This window comes from Homo sapiens, chromosome 8, assembly GCF_000001405.40.
Source record: "Homo sapiens chromosome 8, GRCh38.p14 Primary Assembly".
In the NCBI taxonomy this organism is placed as follows: domain Eukaryota; kingdom Metazoa; phylum Chordata; class Mammalia; order Primates; family Hominidae; genus Homo; species Homo sapiens.
Window position 1 is genome coordinate 142,699,795 of NC_000008.11, and position 27,179 is coordinate 142,726,973.

A 27,179-nucleotide genomic window follows, 5' to 3' on the forward strand; every position below is an offset into this window, starting at 1 on the left:
GAATTCTTATTTGAGCTTTTAGTTAAGGAAAACAGTACAGCTTGAAAGAGGAACTGCTCAAAAGAATGAGTCAGTCGCTACTCACGCTGGGGAGACCCTCTTGATGAGAGTTTTACAGGATTACTCACGAACGGCCCAGGCAGGGGCCTTACTAGTAAGCACGTTTTGGGAAGTCCTCAGGGCACGCAGGCACCGTGACCTCACACACTAGTGCGCTGGAGTGTGTCATTAGCATCTGGAATCTCTCCCCAGGGATGTGGTTTTTGTTTTTTTTTTTTTTTTTGGTATTATAATGAGCTAAAAGCTATTCAGGGGCGAGTTATCAGAGGTGAGCCCGTGCTCTTCAGCGGAGAAGATCCCCTACCTGGCCGCCGGCCACTTTCTGTGGGCCGTGGGGTCCTCAAGGAGACGGCCCTTGGGCTCAGGGGCTGCGTTTCCACACGCGCCTTTCCCAGGGCTCCCGCGCCCGTTCCTGCCTGGCCGCCGGCCGCTCCAACAGCAGCACAAGGCGGGACTCAGAACCGGCGTTCAGGGCCGCCAGCGGCCGCGAGGCCCTGAGATGAGGCTCCAAAGACCCCGACAGGCCCCGGCGGGTGGGAGGCGCGCGCCCCGGGGCGGGCGGGGCTCCCCCTACCGGCCAGACCCGGGGAGAGGCGCGCGGAGGCTGCGAAGGTTCCAGAAGGGCGGGGAGGGGGCGCCGCGCGCTGACCCTCCCTGGGCACCGCTGGGGACGATGGCGCTGCTCGCCTTGCTGCTGGTCGTGGCCCTACCGCGGGTGTGGACAGACGCCAACCTGACTGCGAGACAACGAGATCCAGAGGACTCCCAGCGAACGGGTGAGCCTGGCTCGCCCTCCACAGCCACGGGCCGAGAGGACAGGGCCGGGCGGCGTCTGCCTGGCACCGCGTGGCCACCGCCCCGACCAGGCCGTGAGAACGGAGCGTTCAGGCGGCCCGTGGCGCCTGGAAGCCTCTGGGGAGCCTCGCCTCGTGCGGCTTCCACCAGGGCGGCGGGGCAGCCTGAGCCCGGCCCTTCCCCAGCCCTTGCCCCGCTCCGGCCGCGCTTCCCCGGGAGCCCTCAGGCTGCAGGCTCCCGCCGGCCTGGCCTCCGGGGGCTTCACGGGCTGAGAACCGTTCAAGCTGCGGGAGGAGGGCCGGCTCCTCCTGCAGAGCTAGGCCAGGCCCAACCCAGACCCAAGGGAGAACTCCTTTGAGGGAGTCGGGGGGCAGGACCTGGGAGGTGGGTGGACCTGGGAGGTGGGCGGGAGGGCACGTGGGAGCAGACCCAAGCCCCAGGGTCACTTCCACAGCCGTCGGCCGGGAGATGCCAGGGCCCGTGGGTGCCGCGTGGCCGACCTGGGGTCAGGGTGCTGCGGCCGAGTGGGGGTGCGCTGTGCGCTCATGTTGTGTGCTTGGATGTGGGAGGACGGGGGAGCCCCCAGGAGAGAAGAAAAATCACTCAGAATGTAAAGAAGTCCGGGGGCTGGGCAATTTATAAAGAAGAGAGGTGGAATTGGCTCACAGTTCCACAGGCTGTCCAGGAAGCGTGGTGCTGGCTTCTGGGGAGGCCTCAGGGCACTTACAATCATGGGGGAAGGCGAAGGGGAAGCGGGCAGCTCTTACGTGGCCGGAGACCCCTCCTGCTTTCTCCCCATGCGGCTCACTCGAGTCATGTGGCCCCAGCCACTGCTCAGGGGGAGAAGGATGGGGACCCGCCGAGTTTGTGCTGGTCGGATGCCGGCTGTGTTCATCAGATAGGCACGGAGAACTGGAACATTCTGCTTTCTTTTTTATTCCTCCTTTCAGACGAGGGTGACAATAGAGTGTGGTGTCATGTTTGTGAGAGAGAAAACACTTTCGAGTGCCAGAACCCAAGGAGGTGCAAATGGACAGAGCCATACTGCGTTATAGCGGCCGTGAGTGAGTATCTTCGCTCTTGTTGGGGACCCAAAGGCAGGTGAACAGAGGGCTTTCAGGAATCAGGGCTGTCTAGTTTTCCTCAATGGGGAATAACTAATAGAAAGTAGCCTTTTTTTTTTTTTATTTTCTGAGACGGAGTCAGGCTGGAGTGCAGTGGTGTGATCTCGGCTCACTGCAACCTCGCCTTCCGGGTTCAAGCGATTCTCCTGCCTCAGCCTCCAGAGTAGCTGGTATTATGGATGCGCGCCACCACACTGGCTAATTTTTTATTTTTAGTAGAGGTGGGGTTTCACCATGTTGGTCAGGCTGGTCTCGAACTCCTGACCTCAGGTGACCCACCCGCCCTCGGCCCCCCAAAGTGCTGGGATTACAAGCGTAAGCCACCGCGCCCTGCCTTTTTTTCCCTTTAAAATGTGAAGAGCAAAGTCCTCAGAGGCCAGAGAGAGGTGTAGGAACTGTGCTAGTGTAAGGCAGTGCCTGCTACAGTGGGTCCAGATGAAATACTGGGAGGTAGGAAGAAAATCTGGATTTCATATCATCCATTTTTAAATGAAAAATTAAGCTTTAATAGTGTTAAATGCGCCACAGAGAACAGTGTCTATGTCACTCTTACAAGAGATGCACAAAACCAAGGTGTACAGCCTTCAAGTGTGTTCTCAAAGGAGGGTGCATGCCTTAAAAATTGTGGAGACCACTGCTCTGTCATCTGTGATTCCCCTGAAAACCTCTGGGTACATGAAGCCCTCCCCAAGGGGAATCTGGACACCCAGCACATTCTGCCCACAGGGAGATCTTCAGGGCTCGTGAATTCTGATTCCGCCCAGCAGTCACTCTCCAGCCCTTCGGTATCCACGAAGTTGGTGGGGTGCTGAGGTGATGCTTCAGACTCAGTGTGGCCCACATCGACTTTATAACTTAATATGGCAAAATGATTTGTACAGTGATGTATAAGATGAAGTGTGGTCATGAGACAAGACCCCCAGCTCAGAGTCGAGCCAGGCCCACCAAGAGGCCAGCTCCACACCCTGGGTGATGGCCAGAATGGCTGGGAGTCATGTGTCTGTCTGTGGTCACAAAGGCCTGAGCCAACCCTGTGTTTGAGAAGTTGAGACCTGTTTGTTCCCAAACAGCAACCCCTAGACCCGCATTCCCAGTGCATATGGACAGGCCATACCACGCAGAAGCCAGCCCTTCCCTGAAGCAGCATTCAACACACAGGCCTGGCCCTCGTCCTCCCGACTCCCCCTTGGTGCCCCAGTTGACTGTGCACCTTTGAGCAGGGCCGCCAGGGGTGAGGCTTTGACCCAGACAGAAGGGCCTCGGTGTCAGGCATTGGAATTGCGTGATTGCCTTCTCTCGGTCTTTATTTCCTATTAGAAATATTTCCACGTTTTTTCATGGTTGCGAAGCAGTGCTCCGCTGGTTGTGCAGCGATGGAGAGACCCAAGCCAGAGGAGAAGCGGTTTCTCCTGGAAGAGCCCATGCCCTTCTTTTACCTCAAGTGTTGTAAAATTCGCTACTGCAATTTAGAGGGGCCACCTATCAACTCATCAGTGTTCAAAGAATATGCTGGGAGCATGGGTGAGAGCTGTGGTGGGCTGTGGCTGGCCATCCTCCTGCTGCTGGCCTCCATTGCAGCCGGCCTCAGCCTGTCTTGAGCCACGGGACTGCCACAGACTGAGCCTTCCGGAGCATGGACTCGCTCCAGACCGTTGTCACCTGTTGCATTAAACTTGTTTTCTGTTGATTACCTCTTGGTTTGACTTCCCAGGGTCTTGGGATGGGAGAGTGGGGATCAGGTGCAGTTGGCTCTTAACCCTCAAGGGTTCTTTAACTCACATTCAGAGGAAGTCCAGATCTCCTGAGTAGTGATTTTGGTGACAAGTTTTTCTCTTTGAAATCAAACCTTGTAACTCATTTATTGCTGATGGCCACTCTTTTCCTTGACTCCCCTCTGCCTCTGAGGGCTTCAGTATTGATGGGGAGGGAGGCCTAAGTACCACTCATGGAGAGTATGTGCTGAGATGCTTCCGACCTTTCAGGTGACGCAGGAACACTGGGGGAGTCTGAATGATTGGGGTGAAGACATCCCTGGAGTGAAGGACTCCTCAGCATGGGGGGCAGTGGGGCACACGTTAGGGCTGCCCCCATTCCAGTGGTGGAGGCGCTGTGGATGGCTGCTTTTCCTCAACCTTTCCTACCAGATTCCAGGAGGCAGAAGATAACTAATTGTGTTGAAGAAACTTAGACTTCACCCACCAGCTGGCACAGGTGCACAGATTCATAAATTCCCACACGTGTGTGTTCAACATCTGAAACTTAGGCCAAGTAGAGAGCATCAGGGTAAATGGCGTTCATTTCTCTGTTAAGATGCAGCCATCCATGGGGAGCTGAGAAATCAGACTCAAAGTTCCACCAAAAACAAATACAAGGGGACTTCAAAAGTTCACGAAAAAATTGAATTAAAAGATAAAAATTAAAAAATGTTTTATTTCTCAGCATGAGCTCCATCAAGGTCGAGACGCTTCTGCAAGTAATGGTACCAGCCATTCAGTTCATCCCTAAAGAATTGGGCACCCTGGGAATTTAACCATGCCACTTCAGTCTTTGTGACGTTATTAACTGAAGAAAAGTGGGTGCCCTTTAAAGATTTTTTAAAATTATAAAACAGAAGTAACCAAATCAGGCCTGGAAGGTGTATGCCTAGTGATTTCCCATTGAAACTCTCACAAAACTGGCCTTGTTTGATGAGAGGAATGAGCAGGAGCATTGTCATGGTGGAGAAGGGCTCTCTGGTGAAGCTTTCCGGGGTGACGATTTCCTGGGTGTTTTCCTGCTAAATCGTTGGCTGACTTTCTCTATACACTCTCATAATAAGATGTTACTGTTCTTTGGCCCTCCAGAAAGTCAATAAGCAAGATGCCTTGAGCATTCACAAAACGGTTGCCACGACCTTTGCCCTTGACATGTCTGCTTTTACTCTGATGGGACCACGCCCACCTCTAGGTAGTCATTGCTTTGCTTGTGCTTTGCCTTCAGGAGTGTACTGGTTAAGCCACATTTCATCTCCGGCTATAATTATATGAAGAAATGCTTCAGGATCTTGATTCCACTTGTTTAAAATGGCCATAGAACGCTTTTCTCTTATCTGCAGCTGAGCTGGGAGAAAGTTTTGGCACCCACCGAGTGGACAGTTTACTCAACTTTAATTTCAGTCAGAATTGTGTAAGCTGAACACCTTGGGATACCTACAGCGTTGGCTATTGTTTCTGCTGCTATTAATCAGTCCTCTTAAATTAGGGCACAAACAAGATGAATTGTTTCCTCACAGACTGATGTGGCTGGCCTGCTGCTGTGGACTTCCTCTCCAACATCATCTCTTCTCTTCTTCCAATGAGTTATCCACTTACTTAAATTGCTGATTTCTTTGAGGCATTGTCCCTATAAACTTTCAATAAATCATCAATGATTTCACCATGTTTCCAGCCAAGCTTCACCATCAATTGCATGTTTGTTCTGGTTTCAATTTTAGCAGAATTCATGTGTCTGATAGGAGCTCTGTTCAAACTGTTGTCTTATACTTCTTAGGGCCTCAAACTAGATCCTGTTCGGACGTGTTTTCACAAGTTAGTACAAGTTTATTTTGTTGCAAAACAATTTGAAATTCATGCATTCTTTTTCCCAATATGCATTTTCCATGAACATTCTAAAGATCACTCATCCTTCCTCCCCATGTTGTCTATTCAATGTCAGGGAGGATGTGACCCCACCCACTGCTCACCTTTGTCTCCCTTCTGTCCCCACCATCCTGGCCAGCCACTGCCTGGTCTAATACCAGAGGCTGCTGGGTGGGGAAGCCTGGGGAACCTTCCAGATAGAGTTTCTTCGCTATTCCTGAGGCATGGGGAAAAGGCTCATCTCAGTCACATCTGAACACTTCGAACCTGAGGCCAAAGTCCATTCTAGGGGCAGTGGGCAAGGAGGGTCCCAGCAACTCAGGACCAGATAGGACCACCAGCACCTGTCAGGCTCTGCCTGTGTGTCCATCTTTTTGCCCGTCACAGGCTGGTGTTCACATCCTGCCATTCACACCAGCACCCAGAAACAGTAGCCCCAGCTGCTTCCAATTCGCAGCCCTGGGCTTGAGTTTGGGGAGCATTACTTTCATTAAGGCAGGCAAAAGTGGGAACTTCATTCAGAAAGAGCAAGTGAGGTAGGAGGTCAGCCACATGAGAGAGTTTCCATGGCAGCCTTCCATTAGAGTCTCTTCAAATGAAGGATGTAATCTGTGATGTAAAATCATAGCAAGTCAAGAAATGTGAATACGGAAAAATTCGAAATTGGGAACTGCTGGGTCTCTGGTAACACTAGGAGCACTCCCAATTACTTGAGTAAGGGAGATAGAAAATTATTGCAGGGTTAGGAATTAGAATGGATCAAGGAGTTTGCTGTCTCCAGTGTGATAGATGCTCTTTCTAGAAAAGTCACCATGGATGGAAGACAGAACGGAGGGTAGTGTCTAGAAAAGAACAAGGTTCAACACAGATGCTCCATTATGAATGTAAAAGCTCAAGTATTGTTGACCAAAGGTTAAGAGTCAGTCTAGAGTGAGGGATTGGAGAAGCAGGAGATGGTGGCCCAGCTGGTCAGGGAAGGTCCTTACACAGGCAGAATAGTCTAGGGGACAGATCCAAGGCCGAGACACTGACAAGGAGAACAGACACTTCTATCAACATGGAAGAGCAATAGGCAAGAATACAGAGAAAGATCATGTATAGGAAGAGGCCAGGAAGTTGAAAGAATTATCCCCAGCAGTCACATTTTCTCTGTGAAACAGAATACGGTGGTGTCTGCTCAGAGAATGAGGGTACAAATAAGGTTGGACTTTGAGTGCCATGATGGAAGCTTAGGACTATCCCCAAAGGTAAGAGAGAAGGGATATCTTAGGGGACATAACATAGGATAGCCCAGCATTGTGGAGGTCATGGCTAAGACAGGGCATTAAACATTTGCAGAGACCTGCAAGAGTTCGGTAGTGGATTTTCCCCAGCAGCAGCCCATGTTTATGAGGGGGAAAGGCAGATAACAAAAGTACATCTGGGTGTGAGCTAGTTCAGAAGGTCACGATGGAAAGAGAGCAGTTGAGTGATGAACTATGGGAACTTCACTGAATGGAGAAGTCAAAGTAAGGTTAGAAATATCAGTTTTGAAGCAGTACCAAGGCCAGAGGCTATAGATGGCACAGAAACACAGAGCAGATATTGGCAATCCCATGATTAAGAGAGTAGGAAAGAAGGAGATTACAACCACTAAAAATAACCAGAACTTAGTACACAATAAATGAAGGCTCAAAACTAATGGGGAAAGAATGGATTATTGAATAAATGATATTGCTAAAATAGGCTACTGTGTTACTACTAGATCAGGTGTGTGAGTAATGGAAATCCCCACATCATAATGACTTAAACAACACAAGAATGTGTATTTCTTGCTCTTGTAAATGAAGTGAGCAAGTAAGCAGCCCAGGGCTGTGGGCCACTGCTGGAAGGACCCCTTTTCACGTGCCACCACAGCTCGGAGCACACACGGGGAAAGGGGAATGGATGGGTTCCATAAGACCAGCATTGTTTTCAGAATTATAAATTCTCCAAAATATATATGCATGTATATATCATCACCTATGTGTAGGCTTTAAAAACAAAGAAAATTGAAAATTTGAGGTTCCACTTTGAGTCCGGAAAGCAGTCTTCTAAGAATAAGTATGTCAGGGTTTCCAAGAGCTGCTGGTAGCCTGATGGCTGGACTCAGAGGATCACATGAAGACACACTGGAAAGTATCTTGAACATGGGTTTCATGTCTTGATCTCTGAAAACAGAAAACGACCCTCCTGTAATACACATGAAGTAATTCATAAATTTCCAAACAGCTAGACTTTCTGAAAGCTCTGCTTGGTCAAACAAACATGTCCAGGTCTCTGAAATGCCTTTCTATCTCAAGCACTAAAAAACTATTACTGACTAAATTCTTTTATGGTCAAACACAAAACTGATACTATAAAACAGAAACAGCACAAGAAAGGAAATTAGAAGCCATCATAATTGTGAACAAAAGATAAATAAAATATTGGCTAATCAAATCCAAGTGTATGAAAATACTAATACATTATGATAAGTACAATTTATCCCAGAAATGCGAGAACAATAAAAATCTTAGGAAAAGATACCACTCACCATAGCAAGAGAATACGCAATAATAACCAAATGATAATCAACGTTCAGTTATAACATTTTAAAAATCCTGGATACCTAAGAATAGAAGGCAATTTCAATATTTTGAAAAAAGTTACTTACCAGAAACCTCAAGCAAACACCATACTTAGTGGTGAAGCATTAGAAGTGTTCTATCTAAGTGCAAAAACATGATAAGCCTATACATTGTTACCACTGCAATAAAACATTAAAGTGGAGAATTTAGTCATGTAGTATAAGAAAAATAAAGAGTATAGAAACTTGTTCCCAACAATCTGCCCCATTAGATAGCCACCTATAACAGAAGACCTTAGACTAATTAATTTGTAAAGAACAGAAATTTATTGCTCACAGTTCTGGCGGTGGAGAAGTCAAAGATCAAGATGCCAACAGATTTGATGTCTGGTGAAGGCCTGTTCCTCATAGATGGCACCTTCTATGTGTCTCTGGAAAGACCTAAAGAGGCAAAGACATTCCCTTCAGTCTCTTTCATAAAGGCATGAATCACATTCATGAGGGGTGCCTCCCAAAGGGATGCATCTCTTTTTTTTTTTTTTTTTTTTGACATGAAGTCTCGCTCTTGTCACCCAGGCTGGAGTGCAGTGGCGAGATCTTGGCCCACTGCAGCCTCCTCCTCCTCCTGGGTTCAAGCTATTCTCCTGCCTCAGCCTCCTGAGTAGACAGAATTACAGGCACCTGCCACCACACCCACCTAATTTTTGTACTTTTAGTAGAGACAGGGTTTTGCCATATTGGCGAGGCTGGTCTCAAACTCCTGACCTAAGGTGATCCGCCTGCCTCGGCCTTCCAAAGTGCTGGGATTACAGGTGTGAGCCACCACGTCTGGCTGGGTTGCACCTCTTAATACCAACACAATGGTGATTAGGTTTCAATATGAATTTTGGAGGGACACAAACATTGTACCACACCATTCTGCCCCTGCCCGTCCCCAAACTCATGTCTTTCTGACATTTAAAATAAATTCATTCCATCTCAAAACTCTTAACTTCAGTTAAGTCTTAACGTAGTTCCAGCATCAAAAGTCTAAAATCCAAAGTCTTATCTAAATATCACGTAAAACAGATATGGATGAAACTCAAGGTAAGATTTATTCTGAGGCAAATTTGTCTCCAGCCATGAACGTGCAAAATCAAACAAGTGACATGCTTCCAAAATACAATGGTGGGACAGGCGTAAGATAAACATGCTTATTTCAACATAGAGAAATAGGAAGGAAGGAATGACAGGCCCTGATCAAGTCCAAAACCCAACAGGGCAAACATTAAATCTTAAGTCTCCAAAATATTTTTTAATCCATGCCCCACATTCTGGACACACTGGGGTGGGGCTTGAACCCCCAAGGTTTTTGGCAGCCCTGCAGCCCTCCCTCCTGGCTTTGCTATATGCACCTCTCACAGGCTGGAGTTGCCTGCTGGTGGCTCTACTGGTCTGGGGTCTTCAGGGCAGCCCTGCTTTTATGATGCCACTGAGTAATGCTCTCTCCAGTGACCCCTGCCACACCTGTGGCTGTTTTCTGCCTCTGTCCTACGTCTGTCTGAGGCATCCTTTGAAATCTAGGTGGAGGCAACCACATCCCTCCAAAGCCCGTGTGGAAATGATACCGTACAGATGCTGCCGAGGTTTACCGCATATGCCTTCCAGAGGGGCACTCTGAACTGGTCCTGGGCCTGCTTGAGCCAGAGCTGTAACAGCCAATGCAGGCCCAAAACTGGAATCCTGAGAGCAAAGCCTTGAAATCATTCTGCTCCCAAGACCCTGGTGTTCTGGACCTGTGGTGGATGAGACATCCATGAATGTAGGGTCCAGCCCCACAGGGTCGGTGGGTTTTCTCTCATGTGTGGAGATGAGAGAGTGTGGAAATAAAGACACAAGACAAAGGGATAAAAGACAGCTGGGCCTGGGGGACCACTACCACCAAGACGTGGAAACCAGTAGTGGCCCCGAATGCCAGGCTGCACTGATATTTATTGGATACAAGACAAAGCAGCAGGATAAGGAGTGTGAACCATCTCCAATGATAGGTAAGGTCACGTGGGTCACGTGTCCACTGGACAGGGGGCCCTTTCCTGCCTGGCAGCCGAGGCAGAGAAAGAGAGGAGAGAGAGAGAGAGAGACAGCTTACGCCATTATTTCTGCTTATCAGAGACTTTTAGTACTTTCACTAATTTGCTACTGCTATCTAAAAGGCAGAGCCAGGGATACAGGATGGAACATGAAGGCGGACTAGGAGCATGACCACTGAAGCACAGCATCACAGGGAGATGGTTAGGCCTCCAGATAACTGCGGGCGAGCCTGACTGATGTCAGGCCCTCCACAAGAGGTGGAGGAGTAGAGTCTTCTCTAAACTCCCCTGGGGAAAGGGAGACTCCCTTTCCCGGTCTGCTAAGTGGCGGGTATTTTTCCTTGACACTGATGCTACCGCTAGACCAAGGTCCACTTGGCAGCAGGCGTCTTCCCAGACGCTGGCGTTACTGCTAGACCAAGGAGCCCTCTGGTGGCCCTGTCCGGGCATAACAGAAGGCTCGCACTCTTGTCTTCTGGTCACTTCTCACTATGCCCCCTCAGCTCCTATCTCTGTACGGCCTGGTTTTTCCTAGGTTATGATTGTAGAGCAAGGATTATTATAATATTGGAAAAAAGAGTAATTACCACAAACTAATGATTAATGATATTCATATATAATCATATCTATGATCTATATATAGTATAACTATTCTCATATATTGTATTATACTGGAACAGCTCGTGCCCTCGGTCTCTTGCCTTGGCACTTGGGTGGCTTGCTGCCCAAACATGAAAGTCTCAGAAATGCCCTCAAGATCATTCCTCCATTGTCTTAATAAATAACACACAGTTTCCTTCTGTCCATACTAATCTCGTTATCAAACATTTGCTTGACCACACCTTTGGTGTCTCTCCTGGACACACTTTCACATTCTTTACAATATTGTCAGGCTCAGAATTTTCCAAATATTCAAGTTTTGCTTCCCTTTTGATGATAAATTCTGTCTTTAATTCATGACTCTCTTCTTGCATTTCACTAAAAGCAGTCAAGAGAAGCTGTGCCACACCCTGAACACTTTGCTAAGAGATTTCTTCTGCCAAATATTCTACCTTGTTGCTGATAACTTATTCCTTCTACGAAAGGCTAGAACATGAACACAATTCAGCCACAATTTGCCACTTAGTAACAAGGATTGCCTTTCCTTCAGTTTCTGATAATCTGTCCCTCATTTCTGTCTGGTACTTCATAAGAATGGCCTTTACTGTCCATGTTTATACCCAGATTTTGATCATGACCACTTGGATAATCTCCAAGAAGACTGAGGATTTTCTCTATAGCTCTCCTCTTCTTCTGAGCCCTCACCAGATTAGCCAATGTTTGATTAGAGCCTGTTCCTCACAGATGACACCTTCTATGTGTACTCATGTGGCAGAAGGAGCTAGAATGCTCCTTTCAATCTCTTTTATAACAGCATTAATCCCATTTATGAGGATGGAACTTTCATGATCTAATTACTTCCCAAAGGGCCCCACCTCTTAATACCAACGCAATGGAGATTAGACTGCAACATTTTGGAGGGACATGACATTCAGACTATAGTAATAGCTTAAAACTCTTCTATTATAAAACACTTCATCTGATTCTCTGGCTGTTCAGGTTTTAAAAAAATTAAAATTAAAAAAACACTTTTAAATCCTGAATGAAAAAATATCTTAAATCCTTTCCCACTCTATGCCAAGTTAACACGAACATTTCAGAGGCCAAAAATAAAATGGGAACTGGATCATGATTCAACATGGTAGTTAAGTCAGGAGGCTGAAAGCTTCCTTGAGAATGCTTGCTTTTGTCTAATTATCTTGTGCCACATGTAGGGGATAAGAGACAAGGCAACGGATGTCCATAAGATAGGAAGTTAAAATAAAAAAAACACATAAATTAGGAGCTTAGGAAGGGATATATCTTAAATACTGAACTAGGAAGAAAGACACACTCTGCACAACCCTGTCTGCCTCACTATTGGCTCTGCATGAGGTACAAATAGGAAGAGAAGTTTCACCTCAGAATCCAGAAACTTCCAGAGTACAGGGTTTGTATTTATATTACTAGTTAAATATACTAAACTCTAAACCAAGAAACAAATGTAAGGTAATAATGGATTGGTTTCACTCTATAGATGCCTGGAAATCAAAGGAAAATTCTCTCTGAAGGGATAGACTCTGAGTCCAGAAATCATAGAATTCTCACAGATACTATCTCCATAAATCTGCTATAAATCAAAATTTACAAAAGAAAAATAAAAACAAGAAGCAATGAGTGAGTAGAATTAGAGCATAAAAGGTTTTAAACATTGGAAAAAATAGATACCAAATACAAAATAAGTTTCCTTAAAGAAATAAAAGATCAGCTGGGCATGGTGGCTCATACCTGTAATCCCAGCACTTTGGGAGGCCGAGTCGGGAAGATCGCTTGAGCCCAGGAGTTAGAGACAAGCCTGGGCAACACAGGAAGACCCCAACTTTGTTTTATAAAAATAAAATAACTTTAAAGAAAGAAAAAACATCATAGAAAGCATCAGGAAAGAATACAATACCATCAGAAAAATATTGGGCAGACTTGACCCCCCCAAAATTAAAAAAAAGTCTAAAGAGAACATCCAGAAGTAAAAAAATATATAACCATCATATGTTAAAACTCAAGGGATAAATTAAATAACAGATTAGACACAGATGAAGAGAGAATAAGAAACTGGAACATGAGCTGAAGAAACTACTCAAATGTGACCCAGAGATAATAAGAGTTGGAAAATACAAAGAATAAACTAGAAGACAGGGAGAATAGAATTAGACAGTCTGATATAGAAATAAGCAGAATTTCAGAAGAAGAGAGTACAGACAATATTTGAAGAAATAACAATGAGTGGTTTTTCCAAAATTGATTAAAGACATGAATACTCAGATAAAGTAATCATATTGAGGCACATTCAGAGTATCACTTCAGGACTCCAAAGCCAAGAGGAAAATTTAAAACCTGCCAGAGAGAAAAGACATACATCTAAAAAATAAAACAATTACACTTGCACTGACTTCTCAATTTGATTATGGAAGTTAGAAGATGGTGTACTAGTGTCTCCAAAGTGTTGAAAGAAAATGACAAGAAATTAAGGTAGAATTGAATATTTGAATAAAGGCATTTTCTGATAAATACAAAACTGAAATTGTTTACCACTGCTCAGCCATTACTAAAAGAACTCCCAAAATATTCTTTAAAAGGAGTGAAAATAATATCAGACAGGCAGATGGAATGAAAGAAGGAATCATAGAAAAAGATATATTAATATGTGGTGTTATGGATTGAGTTGTGTGGTTTTTCCTACCCACCCCACAAATTCACATATTGAAGCCCTAACCTCCAAAATGGCCGCATTTGGAGTAAGTAATTAAGGTTGAATGAGGTCATAGGTGTTAGCCTCCGATCTGGTAAAATTAGTCTCCTAATATGAAGAGCCACCAGAGAGCTCCTTCTCTCTCCACCATGTGAGGACATCATGACAAGTTGCCATCTATGAACCAGAGAGTGAGCCCTCACCAGATACTGAATCTGCCTGCACCTAGATCTTGGACTTCCCAGCCTCCAGAACTGTGAGAAATAAATGTCTGTTGTTTAAGCCCCCCAGTTTGCGGTAATTTATTATGGCAGCTAAAGAAGACTAAGACATACGGAAAAATCAAAACTATCACTGAATAGATAGCACAATAAGAATTTCCAATTTATGGAGGCTTAAAGAAAATAAGAGTGATAATACTAGACACATGTGGCATAAAAGGAAAGAGGGAGGTGATAGAGTTGTTCTGTAGTTTTTGCAGAGTTCACAAGGAGGTTCAGATATACTGAAAAAATGTGGCCGGGCGCGGTGGCTCATGCCTGTAATCCCAGCACTTTGGGAGGCCGAGGCGGGAAGATCACGAGGTCAGGAGATCAAGACCATTCTGGTTAACACGATGAAACCCCATCTCTACAAAAATACAAAAATAGGAAAAATACAAAAAAACTAGCCAGGCGTGGTGACACACGCCTGTAGTGCCAGCTACTCAGGAAGCTGAGGCAGGAGAATCACTTGAGCCCGGGAGGCAGAGGTTGCAGTGAGCCAAGATCGTGCCACTGCACTCCAGCCTGGGCAACAGAGCAAGTATCCATCTCAAAAGAAAAAAAAAGAAAGAAAGAAAAAATTAGACATAAAGAGCAAATTCCAAAATGCAAAATGATAGAAATCCAGTTTTAAACTTCTATGTATGTGTAGAAAAATAAGAGATCAATATTGAATGGTGAAAAGCATAAAAGAAATAAAAAGAACTAAACAAGATGATAGAAATATATCCTTATTCCTTAGCAGTGACAACAAATAAAATCACCAGTTCTAGCCTGGGCAACATGGCAAAGCCTCCTCCCTACAAAAAAAAAAAAATACAAAAGTTAACCAGGCATGGTGGTGTGTTCCTGTAGTCCCAGCTACTTGGGAGGCTGAGGTGGGAGGATGGGTTGAGCCTGGGAGTTTTAGGCTGCAGGGAGCCACAATCACACTACTACATTCAAGTCTGGGCAACAGTCAGACCTCATCTCAAAAAAGAAAACAAAAAATCACCAGTTTGAAGCTAATTATTATACTGATTTTTTGTTTTAATCCATAAAAAGATACACACAAAGCATAAGACCACAGAAAAGTTAATCATACAAAAAATGGCAGAAGATATAGTGGACTTATACTATTAATATGAGATAAATAGACCTCAAGGCAAAAAGTATTAATAGACATAAATGACAAAATATTCAAGTCACTATAAAAATATGTTAACAATTTAGAATTATGTCTTCCAGAGGTGTTTCAATATAAGGAAGTAAAAGATGTTGTAAATACGGGGAAAAATTGACAAAACTGACAATGTAATGAAATATTTTAACACACATTGCTCAATAATTGATAGATCTAGAATGCAAAGTATAGTGAAAACACTGAACAAGATAACTGACAAGACTGACTGAATATACATATGTGGGACCTTGCACCCAACAATTACAGATCAGGCCTTCTTCTCAAAGATGGAAAACTACCCAGAGCTTTGAGGGGCTGAGGTAGGAGTATTGCTTGAGCCAAGGAGTTTGAGACCAGCAAGGGCAAGATGACAATACCCCATCCCTACAAAAAATTTTAAGATACCTGAGTGTGGTGTTGCATGCCTATGGTACTAGCTATTTGGGAGGCTGAGGCAGGAGGGTTGATTGAGCCCAGGAGTTCGAGTTACAGTGAGGTATGATTGGGCCACTGCACTCCAGCCTGGGTGACAGAGCAAAACCCTGTCTCTAAAACAATTGGAGGAGGGAACCAAACTGAAAATTTTAAAATACTTTAAATTGAACAGTTAAAAATCTATACCAAAATGAAAAAAAAAAAAACCTTCAGGGTAAAGCTAAAGCAGTACTCAAGGAGAAATTTATAAGCAGTTAGAAATTTAAATGTTTATAATAGGAGAGAAGAAAATTGGAAAATTAATACATTAAACATTCGATTTTGCCAAGCGTGTGAGCTCACGCCTGTAATCCTAGCACTTTGGGAGGCCAAGTCTGGCGAATCGCTTGAGCCCAGGAGTTTGAGACCAGTCTGGGCAACGAAATGAGACCCCATCTCTACAAAAAATGCAAAACGTAGATGGGCATGATGGCGCACACCTGTAGTCCCAGCTATTCAGGAGGCTGAAATGGGAGGATGCCGTGAGCCCAGGAGGTCAAGGCTGCAGCAAGCCGTGATCGTACCACTGCACTCCAGCCGGGCGACAAAGCGAGACCCTACTTCAAAAGCAAACAACAACAAAATTCCGCTTTAAAAGTCAGAAAGTAGGTATGAAGAAAATAACAAAGTGGTAGAAGTTAATGAAATAGAAATCAAGGGTATGACAGAAAGGCCCAAGAGGTGAATTTAATGGCATATTAGACAATCAGAGAAAGGAAGAGTAAACAAGAAGAATGGTAGGTAGGAACCATCAGACTGAAGATCACAAAATTTAAAAAGAGAATGGAAAATACAGAAAAAGCCTTGGTACCTGGGACATGGAGACAAGGTCTGGCATAGTTGTATATAAGTCGATGTAATTATTGACTCTGTTTCTTCAGCCTTTGCTATACATCAGCAGTCCCCAACCTTTTTGGTACCAGGGGCCAGTTTCATGGAAGACAATTTTTCCATGGATGAGGCAGAAGGATGGTTTCGGGATGAAACTGTTCCACCTCAGATCATCAGATTCTCATAAGGAGCATGCAACCCAAATCCCTCACATGCACAGTTTACAATACGGTTTGTGCTCCTACAAGAATCTGATGCCACTGCTCATCTGACAGGAGGCAGACCTCAGGCTGGAATCCTTGCTCGCCTGCCACTCACTTCCTGCTATGTGGCCTGGCTCCTCATAGGCCATGGACTGTGGAGTTGGGGACCCCTGCTATACAATACCCTCTGCCATGTAACTTTGCAGTTCCTCCAGCCAAAGACTTGGTTTAGTTCCCTGATATTCACGTTGGATACTGTCACATGACTTGCTTCAGGCAATGACATTAGCAGAAGTGACACAAGCAAAGACATGAGATGAGCTTGTGTGATTGGGATTTCTCTCGTGCCCCCACCATCATCCTGAGAAGAAAATGCTTCAGCTAGACCACTTGTACCAGGAGGAAGAGAGACGTGGGTTGTAGAACCATCCCAGTAGACTCAAGATCTGTAGTGAGAAGCGGAGCTACCCAGCTGAGCTGGGCCTACCCACAGATCCATGAGTGATAATACAAAAATGGATGTTTCACATCAGTGGGCTTTGGGGCGGCTAATTATGCAGCAGTAGCTAACTGATAGACCATGGATCCACTAAGAGAAAGGGACAGACACAATATTTGAAGATACAGGAGATCATTTTTGAAAACTGATAGAAAATAACCACAGATTTGAGAAACTCTGAGAAACTGAAGCAGAATTGATACAAGGAAAAATCATACCTGGATACATCATTGCAAAACTTCTGAAACCCAAGAATAAAGAGAAAGTCTTAAAAGCAGTCAGAGCAAACAGCCACAATACTTAAAGGAGCAACAATAAGAATAATACCCGGGTTCCAAAAAGAGAAAGTAAGCAATGAGAAAAGACAATGGAAGAACATTGTGAAACTGCTGGAAGAAAATCACTGCTAATTCTAGAGCGTTCTACAAAACAAAATACCCTTCAAAATGCAAAAGTAAAGACAAAGTGAAAGAAACACACTCTCATAGAATGTATCACCATCAGACCACACTAAAGGAAATCCTAAAGGTGGATGAAAAGTTATATCAAACATAAGCAATGGAAAGAATATTAGTTAATATAAATAAAAATCTATTGTATAAGACAATAATAACAAGGACTTTAGGGATATAATATATAGAAGTAAAAAATCATACAGCAGATTTAATATAATGAATATAAGTAGTGTGAATAATTGTATGTGACCACAGTAACACAGAAGGTGACAGAGGAATGAAAGGAGTTAAAAGTATTCCAAGGCTCAAGCATTGTGCTAAGAGGCAATAAATATGAAAATGAATTAAAACAGTGTGTCCCAATAAAATGTATTTGAATTTCATATATATCTATGGAAGATGCTTTAAGTAAAAAAAAAAAAATTCACATTTAGATACTATAGTATAGTTTATTATTTATTTATTAATATTCTACTTAATAAATAACATTCTTAGCTCACAGGTTGTAGGAACACAGGACTGCAGCTGGCTGTGGTCTCAGGTTTTGGTTTGCCAGCCCACGTATCAGGAAAATAGCAACCACACAAGGCAGCCACCACCACTCAGTCTGGGGTACAAAGGGGAGAATTAATAAAACTAATAAGCTGGAATTCATGAAAATGAGTCACTCCCCAGGTGCCCCAGGGCGGCTGCCACACTGGGATCTGGCCTCTGAAGAGGGATGGCAGCTGCTGCCAGGGTCTGAGCTGGAAGGGCCTACGGCCTGAAACCCAGACCCCCGAGATGAGGTGTCCCTAGCAGTGGTTTGAGGTCTCTAGCGGGGAGATCAAGCTGATTCTGCAGAGTCGGGAACCAGCAACCCAGTTTTAGCAGCTAGGTGGGGAAGTGCCACTGCCAGGTGAACCAGCAGCATCCAGAGGACACGTGGCCCCAGTGGCAGGTAGACCGGAAGCCTGGGAAAGAAACCGGAAGCAAACTGAAAGGAGCACATTCCCCATCTTCCCCAGCCTTGCGTGCTTTCTCTGGTGCCCCTAGTGGGAGAATTTAGCACAGCACCAGCTGGCCCAGCAGAAATGAGTTTGCGGAGCTAGGGCCAGCCACAGAGGTGGAGTGGGGATGGTTGGTGTGGAGCTGAGTCAACACCAGGCAAACACTAAGTGAAAGAATCTGGCAGAGTTTCTACTGTCAGACAAAAGTGATGTTGATACAGGAAACATTACTATAATGGAGGGCTTTTCATAATTGCAAAAGGGTAAATCCAACAGGTGGATACAATAATTCTAAATGTGTATGCATCTGTTAACATAACCTCAAAATATATAAAGCAAACATTAACAGAAATAAAAGATGAAATGGTAAATTTCAACATACTTCTTTCAGTGTGTGACAGAACAATCCAGCAAATTAATAAAAATATGCAATATTTGAACATCATTAACAACCTTGGCCCACTAACATATACAGGGCACTGCACCGAACAACTAAAAAGTCACAATTTTTTCAAGTGTACATGGAATGTTCATCAAATTTTTGTCCATATGCTGGGGATAAAGCAAATCTCCACAATGTCAATGACTTGAAATCGTGTGGCAAGTTTTTGACCATAATGCAATTAAATAAAACACCGATATCAAAAAATAAAATATCCCCAAAGGTTTGGAAGATAAGAAATAAATTTATGCATATTCTAAGTCTCAGAAGACAGTCACAAAGGAAGTTGGAAAATATTTGTATTAAATTATACTGAGGCAAGGTACAGTGACTCATGCCAGTAATTCCAGCACTTTGGGAGGGTGAGGTGGGAAGGTTGCTTGAGCCCATGAGTTAGCAGCCTGGGCAACATAGTGAGAACCCGTCTCTACAGAAAATTTTAACAACTGGCAAGGTGTGGTAGTGCCCACCTGTAGTCCCAGCTGCTATGGAGGTGGAGGTGGGAGGATCACCTGAGCCCAGAAGGTTAAGGCTGCAGTGAGCCATGGTCATGCCACTGCACTCCAACCTGCATGACATAGTGTCCAAAAATAATTACACTGTTTCTCCAAAAAAGAATTATACTGTTTACATGACCTATTATTACTTGCGGTATAGTGACAAAGATATGCTTAAGAGAAACTTGTGGTCTAAAATAATCCATTCATGGGAAAAATTCTTAAAGACAGAGAACTGAGTATCTACTTCAAGAAATTAGAAAAAGAATAGCAAATATATCCACAGAAAGAAGAAATTCAAACTAATAGAAAATTCATCAAAAAATAAAAATAAAAGGTTGCTTATTTGAAAAAACTAATAAAACTTATAAATCCTTAGAAAGATTGATCATGAGTAAGAAGGCACAAATTATCAATATCAGGAATAAAAAGATGACATCTCTAGACTAAAAAACATAAAAAGATACCATCTAGGGCTAGGTAAAAAGTTCTTAAAATTGACACCAAAAGCTGAATCCATAGAAGGAACAATTGATAAACTGGACCTCACCAACATTAAGACTTTTGCTTTGCTATTGACTCTGTTATTAGGATGAAAAGACAAGCTACAGACTAAGAGAAAATATTTACAAGCCACAATCTGACAAAGAGTTTTATCTAAAATATACAAAGAACTCTTAAAACTCAACAGTAAAAAAAAAAAATCAATGAGAACATGGACAAGGCATATAAACAGACATTTTGTCAGCAAGCAGATGTGAGTGGCAAATAAGCACATTAAAAAATAATCAACATCCTTATCCTTTTTTTTTTTTTTTTGAGACAGAGTCTCACTCTGTCGCCCAGGCTGGAGTGCAGTGGCGCGATCTCAGCTCACTACAAGCTCCGCCTCCTGGGTTCACGCCATTCTCCTGCCTCAGCCTCCTGTGTAGCTGGGACTACAGGCGCCCGCCACTGCGCCTGGCTAATTTTTTTTGTATTTTTAGTAGAGATGGGGTTTCACCATGGTATCAATCTCCTGACCTCGTGATCCACCCGCCTCAGCCTCCCAAAGTGCTGGGATTACAGACGTGAGCCACTGCGCCCAGGCCATCCTTATCCTTTATAAAATGCAAATTTAAGCCACAATGAGATATCACCACATACCTATGAGAATGGCTAGAATAAAAAATAGTGACAACACCAAATCCTGAAAAGGATGCAGAGTAACTGGATCACTCATACACAGCTGGTGAAAATTTAAAATGGTACAGCCACTATGGAAAACAGTTTGACAGTTTCTTATAAAAATGAACATACAACTACCATGCATTTCATAACTCAAGTTCCACCCGACATTTGGAGAAAGGTTCAGAAACTGGAAGCTTACCCCAAGACACCTCAGGTGACGTGGATAGCGGAGGCCTTTAAGGTTTTTAACAATAAGGACCAGGCAGGGGAGGAAAAAAAGGATGAGAGAATGAAAAATCGGGCAAAAATTTTGGCTGCCATAATTACAGGTCTGCCTCAAGGTGACCCTAGGCAGGAGAAACACTCCAGACAAGGGGTGACCAGACCTCAACCAGCAGCAATAGGACTGAGGGACAACCAATGTTCTTATTATAAGAAAGAGGGGCACTGGAAAAGGGACTGTTCATTCCATCCTGTGAAGTCATGACAGCATGAATCTCCCCAACCCACTCCTCTTGATGCTAGTCTCTTGTATGAAAAGGCCACCCTCTCTGCTGGATGTAGCCCAAGTGCTCTCCCAGCTGCAGTCTTGAAGCGTTCTGTTGGCATCACCACCGCAAAGCCTCAGGTCACTCTCAATGTAGCAGGCAGGAAACCTGAATAACTATTGGATACTGGGACCACCTACTCTGTCCTGACCCAACCTGTGGGACCTCTGCAATGCCAACTGTATGGTGATGGGAATAGATGGCCAGGAGAAGGTAAAATGATTTGCCTTTCCTTTGACTTGTGAAATTGGATTTAAGGGTATTACTCATTCTTTCCTATATATCCCTGAGTGTCCCCTTCCTTTAATAGGTTATGATTTATTATCCAACCTGGGAGCCTCAGTTTCCCTCCAGGGGATGCAATATAAGTCTCAGTACCTCCGAGAAGAGAATCCATTTACTGGCCCTTCTGGCTCCCAAAGGTCAGAAGCTACCTCCTGTCCTGGAAGAGATAGTATGTCAAGTGGCAAAGTTTATATGGGATGCCAGTACTCTAAGACAAGCCATCATTGCAGAGCCTATTAAGATAAAACTTAAGCCAAGTGTACCCTACCCATGCAAGCCCCAATACCCTTTGAGGACAGAAGACCTACAGGGAATACAGCTCCTCCTGGAAAAATTCCTACAGCACAGGCCTATTCAGCCCTGCCAGTCACCTTGTAATACCCCAATCTTGCCTGTGGAGAAACCAAAAGGGGAGTACTGGTTTAGGGTACTCCTTTTAGGAGTGAATGGCTTAGGGCAGTGAATGACTCAGTTGTTCCCAGTCATCCTATAGTTCCCAATCTATCCACACTCCTCTCTCAGATCCCTAGGCGCACTCAGTTCTACATGGTGCTGGATCTAGAGGACACTTACTTTTGTATCCCATTGCATCCCAAATTCTCCTACATTTTTGCCTTTGAATGGAAGTATCCAGAGACCCAGGAAACTTCCCAATATACCTGGACAGTGCTACCCCAGGGGTTTCAGGATAGCTCCTACCTCTCTGGGAAGGCCCTGGCAAAAGACCTCAGAGATCTTAAACTTACAAGTGGAATCTTATTGCAATATGTGGATGATTTGCTTATTGCTAGTGAGGGCTTCCATAGTTTTCAAGAACATACTATTAAAACCTTAAATTTCTTGGCTGAATGGGAATATAAGGTCTTCCCCTTAAAGGCCCAGATCTCCCAGACACAGGTTCGATGACTAGGGTTCATACTTACCCCAGAAGCCAGGATGCTTGCCCCAGACTGAAAGCGGGCCATTGCTTCACTACTAGTCCCTGGTAGTAGAAGAGAGCTGCACGGATTTCTGCAGATGGCTGGCTTCTGCTGGGTTTAGATCCTAAACTTTGGCCTCATACTTAAACCCACTCAAGAGTGGAGAAAACCAATTATCCCACTGGGTAGAAGCCTGTCAGCAAGCATATGAAACCCTAAAATCTGAGTTAGGAAGGCCCCTGACCTAGGACTCCCACAATTGTAGAAGCCTTTCTTCCTATATGTATAGGAGAGGTTCAGGCCAGCCCTGGATGTCCTAATTCAGAATCTGGAGTCCATCCAATGGCCAGTGGTTACTTTCAAAGCAATGAGACCCAGTAGCCCAGGGAAGGCCAAGCTGACTTAGGGCAGTGGTGGCCACCAGCCTCCTGGTCAGAGAGGCCTCCCAACTCACATGAGGCCAACCCCTTCAGGTTGACACTCCTCACCAGGTCTGGAATGTGTTAGAAATAAAAGAGCACCACTGGCTGGGGAAGCCTAACTTTATAGCAGGCCCTGCTGCTAGACACCCTCGACTGAACCTTAAAGGTGTGTTAGACCTTGAATCCTGCTGCCCTGGTTCCCTCGCCCACTTCAGAGACACAAACACACTTGTGTGGAGACTTTAGAGCAGACCTATTCTAGACAAATGGACCTGCAGGACTCCCCCTTAGAAAATACAGATAAAGAATTATTTACATCTGGGAACAGCTTTGTAGAAAATGGCATCCAAAAGACAAGCTATGCTGCTGTTGGCTTGAACCACATTGTAGAAGCAAAAGCCCTTGCCCCAAGCACTTCCACTCATGAAGCAGAGCTCAAAGCCCTAGTCATGGCTCTTTAACTAAGGGAAGGAAAATACTTAATGTATATCCTGCCTCTAAGTATGGATTCCTAGTGCTCCATGTTCATGCAGCTGTCTGGAAAGAGAGGAGATTGTGGACTCCTAGGAGCTCCCCCATAAAACATAAAAAAGTGATTCTGTCCCTTCTTGAGGCAGTTCAGCTCCCTGCCCAGATAGCTGTCATGCACCATGAAGGGCCCCAGCAGGCAGTTCTTTAACCAGCCGAGGAGACAGCTGAGCTGGTGAAGCTGCCAAACAGGTGGCCCAGACAGAGCGGCTTGGCCCCTTGGCTCCTGTAACCCATGTTCCTACCATAGGAAGGAGGGGCACTGGGAAAGGGACTGCTCATTCCATCCTAGGAAGCTGGGACAGAATGAATCTGCCCAACCCACTCCTCCTGTTGCTAGCCGCTTCCTAGCCACTTTCTTCTAGACGAAGATTTAAATCAGGTGGTAAAATACATCATTAACTTGGGACAAGTTCAGCAGGCCATCTTGCAATATGATAATAAGATGTGACCTCAGCCGGGTCATGGAGTTTCAGATCATTTCCCTGCTAGCCCAGGTGCACAGGTCCTACTCAAGACATGGCGAAAAGGAAGCCCAGAGGCTTAGTTCACTGAGAAATGAAAGGGTCCATACCAGGTTTCCTTGGCTACTCCATCAGCTGTACAGTTGGAAGGACTTGTCTCTAGAATAAAACCTTTTGCTTCTCCTGATGGACGACAGGCCTGCTTGGAGAAAACAGTCTACTCCCGTAAACCTATAGAGGACCTCAAGTATTTGTTCAAGAAGCTGCCTCTGGAAGACAGCAATAGTTAAGTAACATCCTTATATAAATGATATATACCAGGGGATATGCAGACTATCTTCAGGACCCTGGCTTGATACCCCCAACTGCACAATTCATAACCTGAACCTCTCCATTCTCAATGACACCAGGGGATATGCAGACTATCTTCAGGACCCTGGCTTGCTACCCACCAACTGCACAATTCATAACCTAAATCTCTCCATTCTCAATGACACCAGGGGACATTCGAATTTGGGCTCCTCTTGGAATTGTTTTCCCTCGAGGCCACGCTAATGACCTCCTCAACCACCCTGCTTGCCTAGCTCTTTCCCCCTGCATGGCTCTGTGGGCTTGGACACCCCAAGCCCAGGCCAAGGAAGGGCCAGGTCTGGCACCCAGAAGTCCCCCACTTGACCTTGACTCCTTCAAGTCCCCCAATAAACTGCCAGTGAACCACCACAAGCTGCCCAAATCCATTGCGTTAGACTGATGCAACTGAGTGATGGGGAAGGTGTGGGTCCCTCCAGCTTTCGTGGGTGCTAAGACTGCTGGGTGTCTGGCACTGCTCTGGCCCTGGGACACAGCAGTTAGGAGGCCAACCAGGCCCTGGCCTTCTGGCTTCAGAGTCCAAGAGGGACAGAAGTATTCCTTGCTTATGTATTCCCTGTGTAAGATTGCAGCAAGGCTATGCACCCTGGGAGAGGTTCGCTGTGCAAGGAGAGCCCTGGGGATCTTGCCCAGTCTCTGGGCCCAGGAAGCGGAAGATGGAAGAGGAGGGAACAGCATGTGGGTGGGAGGGGAGCTGGGAGAGCAGAAGTTGGGAATGAATGGGCAGGGGCAGGAGCAGAGGAGGTCTGGAGGGTGGGTAGAGACCTTGGAAGCTCCAACTGGTTTCTCATTCATCCATCTTCACCGGTATCTCCAGGGCTAAGCCTCCAGCTCTGGGTCCCTCCCCTGGCAGGAGAGGACACAGTGGTGTAAACCAAAAATGAAATTCTAAGCACCCCCACCATCTGAATGCACCCCTGCTCTTGACCAAGGGCAGTCCAGGGTTAACCTGAAACACTAGTTCAGACCACGACAGGAAATGGGTGTTGGATATGCCTCACTGTACCCTCCTCCCTTTGGATTTCAGGCCCAGCTGACCAGCAGTAACATCAACACACCCCTTAAAGACTGAGAGAACAGACTCTTTAAGTCTGATGAGAAACATTTACAATCTATTCTCTCTGAAGCCTGCTACCTGGAGGCTTCATCTGATCATGAAACACTGGTCTCCACGACCCCTTATCTTAACCAGACATTCCTTTCTATTAATGCTAAGTCTTTAAAAAATAACTTTTTTTTTTTTTTTTTTTTTGGAGAAGTGAGGTCTCTCTATGTTGCCCAAGCTGGTATCTAACTCCTGGGCTCAAATGGTCCTCAGCCTCCCCATGGCAAGGATTATAGAAATGGCCCACCATGCCCGGTCAACTTAACTCTTTCAATCAATTGCCAATCAGAAAATCTTTGAATCTGCCTATGACCTAGAAGTCCCTCTGTCACTTCCAGTTGTCCCCACCTTTCTGGACCAAACCAATGTCCATCCTGCAAGTATTCATTGATGTCTTATGTCTCCCTAAAATTTGTAAAACCCAGTTGCAGGCTGACCACTCTGGGTACAAGTTCTCAGGATCTTCTGAGGCCGTGTGACAGGCCACAGTCACTTAGATTTGGCTCAGAATAAATCTCTTCAAACATTGCACAGTGTTTCACTCTTTTTGTTGGCAAGGGGACAACATGGGTGACCAGGAGGCTGCATTCTTTGAGCAATGGCCAACAGGCTCAACGGCTATGTCCTCAGTCCCTTCAGCCCAAAAGGCCACCCCTCCCTGGGGCAGAGGGCTCAGAGCCCAGCTACGACAAGGTGACACTTCAGGGACAAGTGTGAGCAATGCTAGGGTGTTGGGAATAGGCCCCCAAAATCTGGCCATAAACAAAATCTCTGCAGCACTGTAACATGTTCATGATGGCCATGATGCCCACGCTGGGAGGTTGTGGGTTTACCGGAATAAGGGCAAGGAACACCTGGCCCACCCAGGGCAGAAAACCGCTTAAAGGCGTTCTTAAACCACAAACAATAGCATGAGCCATCTGTGACTTAAGGACATGCCCCTGCTGCAGATAACTAGCCAAACCCACCCCTTTATTTTGGCCCATCCCTTTGTTTCCCTAAGGGGTACTTTTAATCTATAATCTGTAGAAACTGTGCTTATCACTGGCTTGCTGTGAATAAACACGTGGGTAAATCTCTGTTGGAGGCTCTCAGCTCTGAAGGCTGTGAGACGCCTGATTTCCCACTCCACACCTCTATATTTCTGTGTGTATCTTTAATTCCTCTAGCACCGCTGGGTTAGGGTCTCCAGGACCGAGCTGGTCTCGGCACTGGGGGAGCTGCCCTGATAGGTAGTGAGCTCCCTGTCCCTGGGGCTATCAAGCAGAGCCAGGTGCCGCCCCAGGGAGCTCCTTCTTTGAGGGCGGTCCAGAACCCTGGAACCCCAGCCCAGGCCCAGGCCTGAATCCGGAGCTTGTTTAACCCAGCAATTCCGGGACCCCATCCCCGGTCGCTGGCATCCGCTGTCATTCGAGAGCCTGGGGCTGACGGGGAGAGCTGGTCCGGCCTTCTCTGGGCCGCCTTTCCTCCCCAGCCTCGTCAGGAAGGGGCACAGGACAGCCGAGCTGTGCGACAGCCCGCTGGGCCTGCGCCCCAGGGCCTCCGGCGACACTTGGAGTCCGCAGCTGAGTCACTGACTCTCACCCGGGCTCCCCCGCTTCCGCCCGGCCGTGATTTGCTCCGGTTTCAAAAGGGAGGAAGGGCGGGAATGCTCGGGAAGAGCCTGGGGTTGGCAGGACCTTTAGGGGGTGGAATGAATGTCGTGAGGGCGAGTAAGGAGGTACCGGCTGGGGCTGAAAATGCGCACGGGGACCATGAGCGTGATTCGCCCTGAGCCGCTGCGAACGCCCTGCGAGCTGGGGTGGCCCTGGAGGTCCTGGAGCAGAAGCTAGGTTCCCGCAGAGTCCGCTGCAGCGCCGCTGGCGATCGGGCTGGGTCCCATTTTCCACGAAAAGTCCCGCGGCTTCGGCCGCGGAGGTGCTGGAGCCTTTGCGCTCAGACGAAGGGCCGAACGGCCAGGGCCAGGCCGCGTCTTC

General features: G+C 45.8%; 1 protein-coding gene and 1 long non-coding RNA gene across 6 annotated transcripts, besides 1 other annotated feature; one reads left to right on the forward strand and one right to left on the reverse strand.

Moving 5' to 3' along the window:
- The first annotated feature begins 316 nt into the window (after positions 1-316).
- Positions 317-5,333, forward strand: LY6K (lymphocyte antigen 6 family member K). 5 transcript variants are annotated; one of them, NM_017527.4, is made up of 3 exons: positions 317-836; positions 1,806-1,919; positions 3,297-5,333. In NM_017527.4, exons 1-3 carry the CDS (start codon positions 734-736, stop codon positions 3,575-3,577), a joined length of 498 nt encoding a protein of 165 aa, NP_059997.3. In that variant the 5' UTR covers positions 317-733; the 3' UTR covers positions 3,578-5,333. The 5 variants fall into 5 exon arrangements, with proteins under 5 accessions (NP_059997.3, NP_001153826.1, NP_001153827.1 ...); NM_001160354.2 differs by having other exon boundaries at positions 3,050-4,376; NM_001160355.2 differs by having other exon boundaries at positions 3,329-4,376.
- LNCOC1 (lncRNA associated with ovarian cancer 1) lies at positions 2,458-27,179 on the reverse strand. Its single transcript, NR_038925.1, has 3 exons — positions 26,928-27,179; positions 8,521-8,624; positions 2,458-7,785 (listed from the first exon to the last, which is right to left on the reverse strand). It is a non-coding gene; the product is annotated as a lncRNA associated with ovarian cancer 1 (long non-coding RNA).
- Positions 26,935-27,154: an enhancer, noted in NCBI's record as "active region_28066". NCBI's record gives its function as "activates an Ori minimal core promoter by ATAC-STARR-seq in GM12878 lymphoblastoid cells {active_cell/tissue: GM12878}" and the evidence as "EXISTENCE:reporter gene assay evidence [ECO:0000049][PMID:35858748]".

Bases quoted from the DNA above. Each gene is read 5' to 3' on its own strand.
- LY6K (NM_017527.4), top strand. From the start codon at position 734: ATGGCGCTGCTCGCCTTGCTGCTGGTCGTGGCCCTACCGCGGGTGTGG. The intron at 837-1,805 runs GTGAGCCTGGCT...TCCTCCTTTCAG, and splicing joins AGAGGACTCCCAGCGAACGG to ACGAGGGTGACAATAGAGTG. The intron at 1,920-3,296 runs GTGAGTATCTTC...ATTTCCTATTAG, and splicing joins CTGCGTTATAGCGGCCGTGA to AAATATTTCCACGTTTTTTC.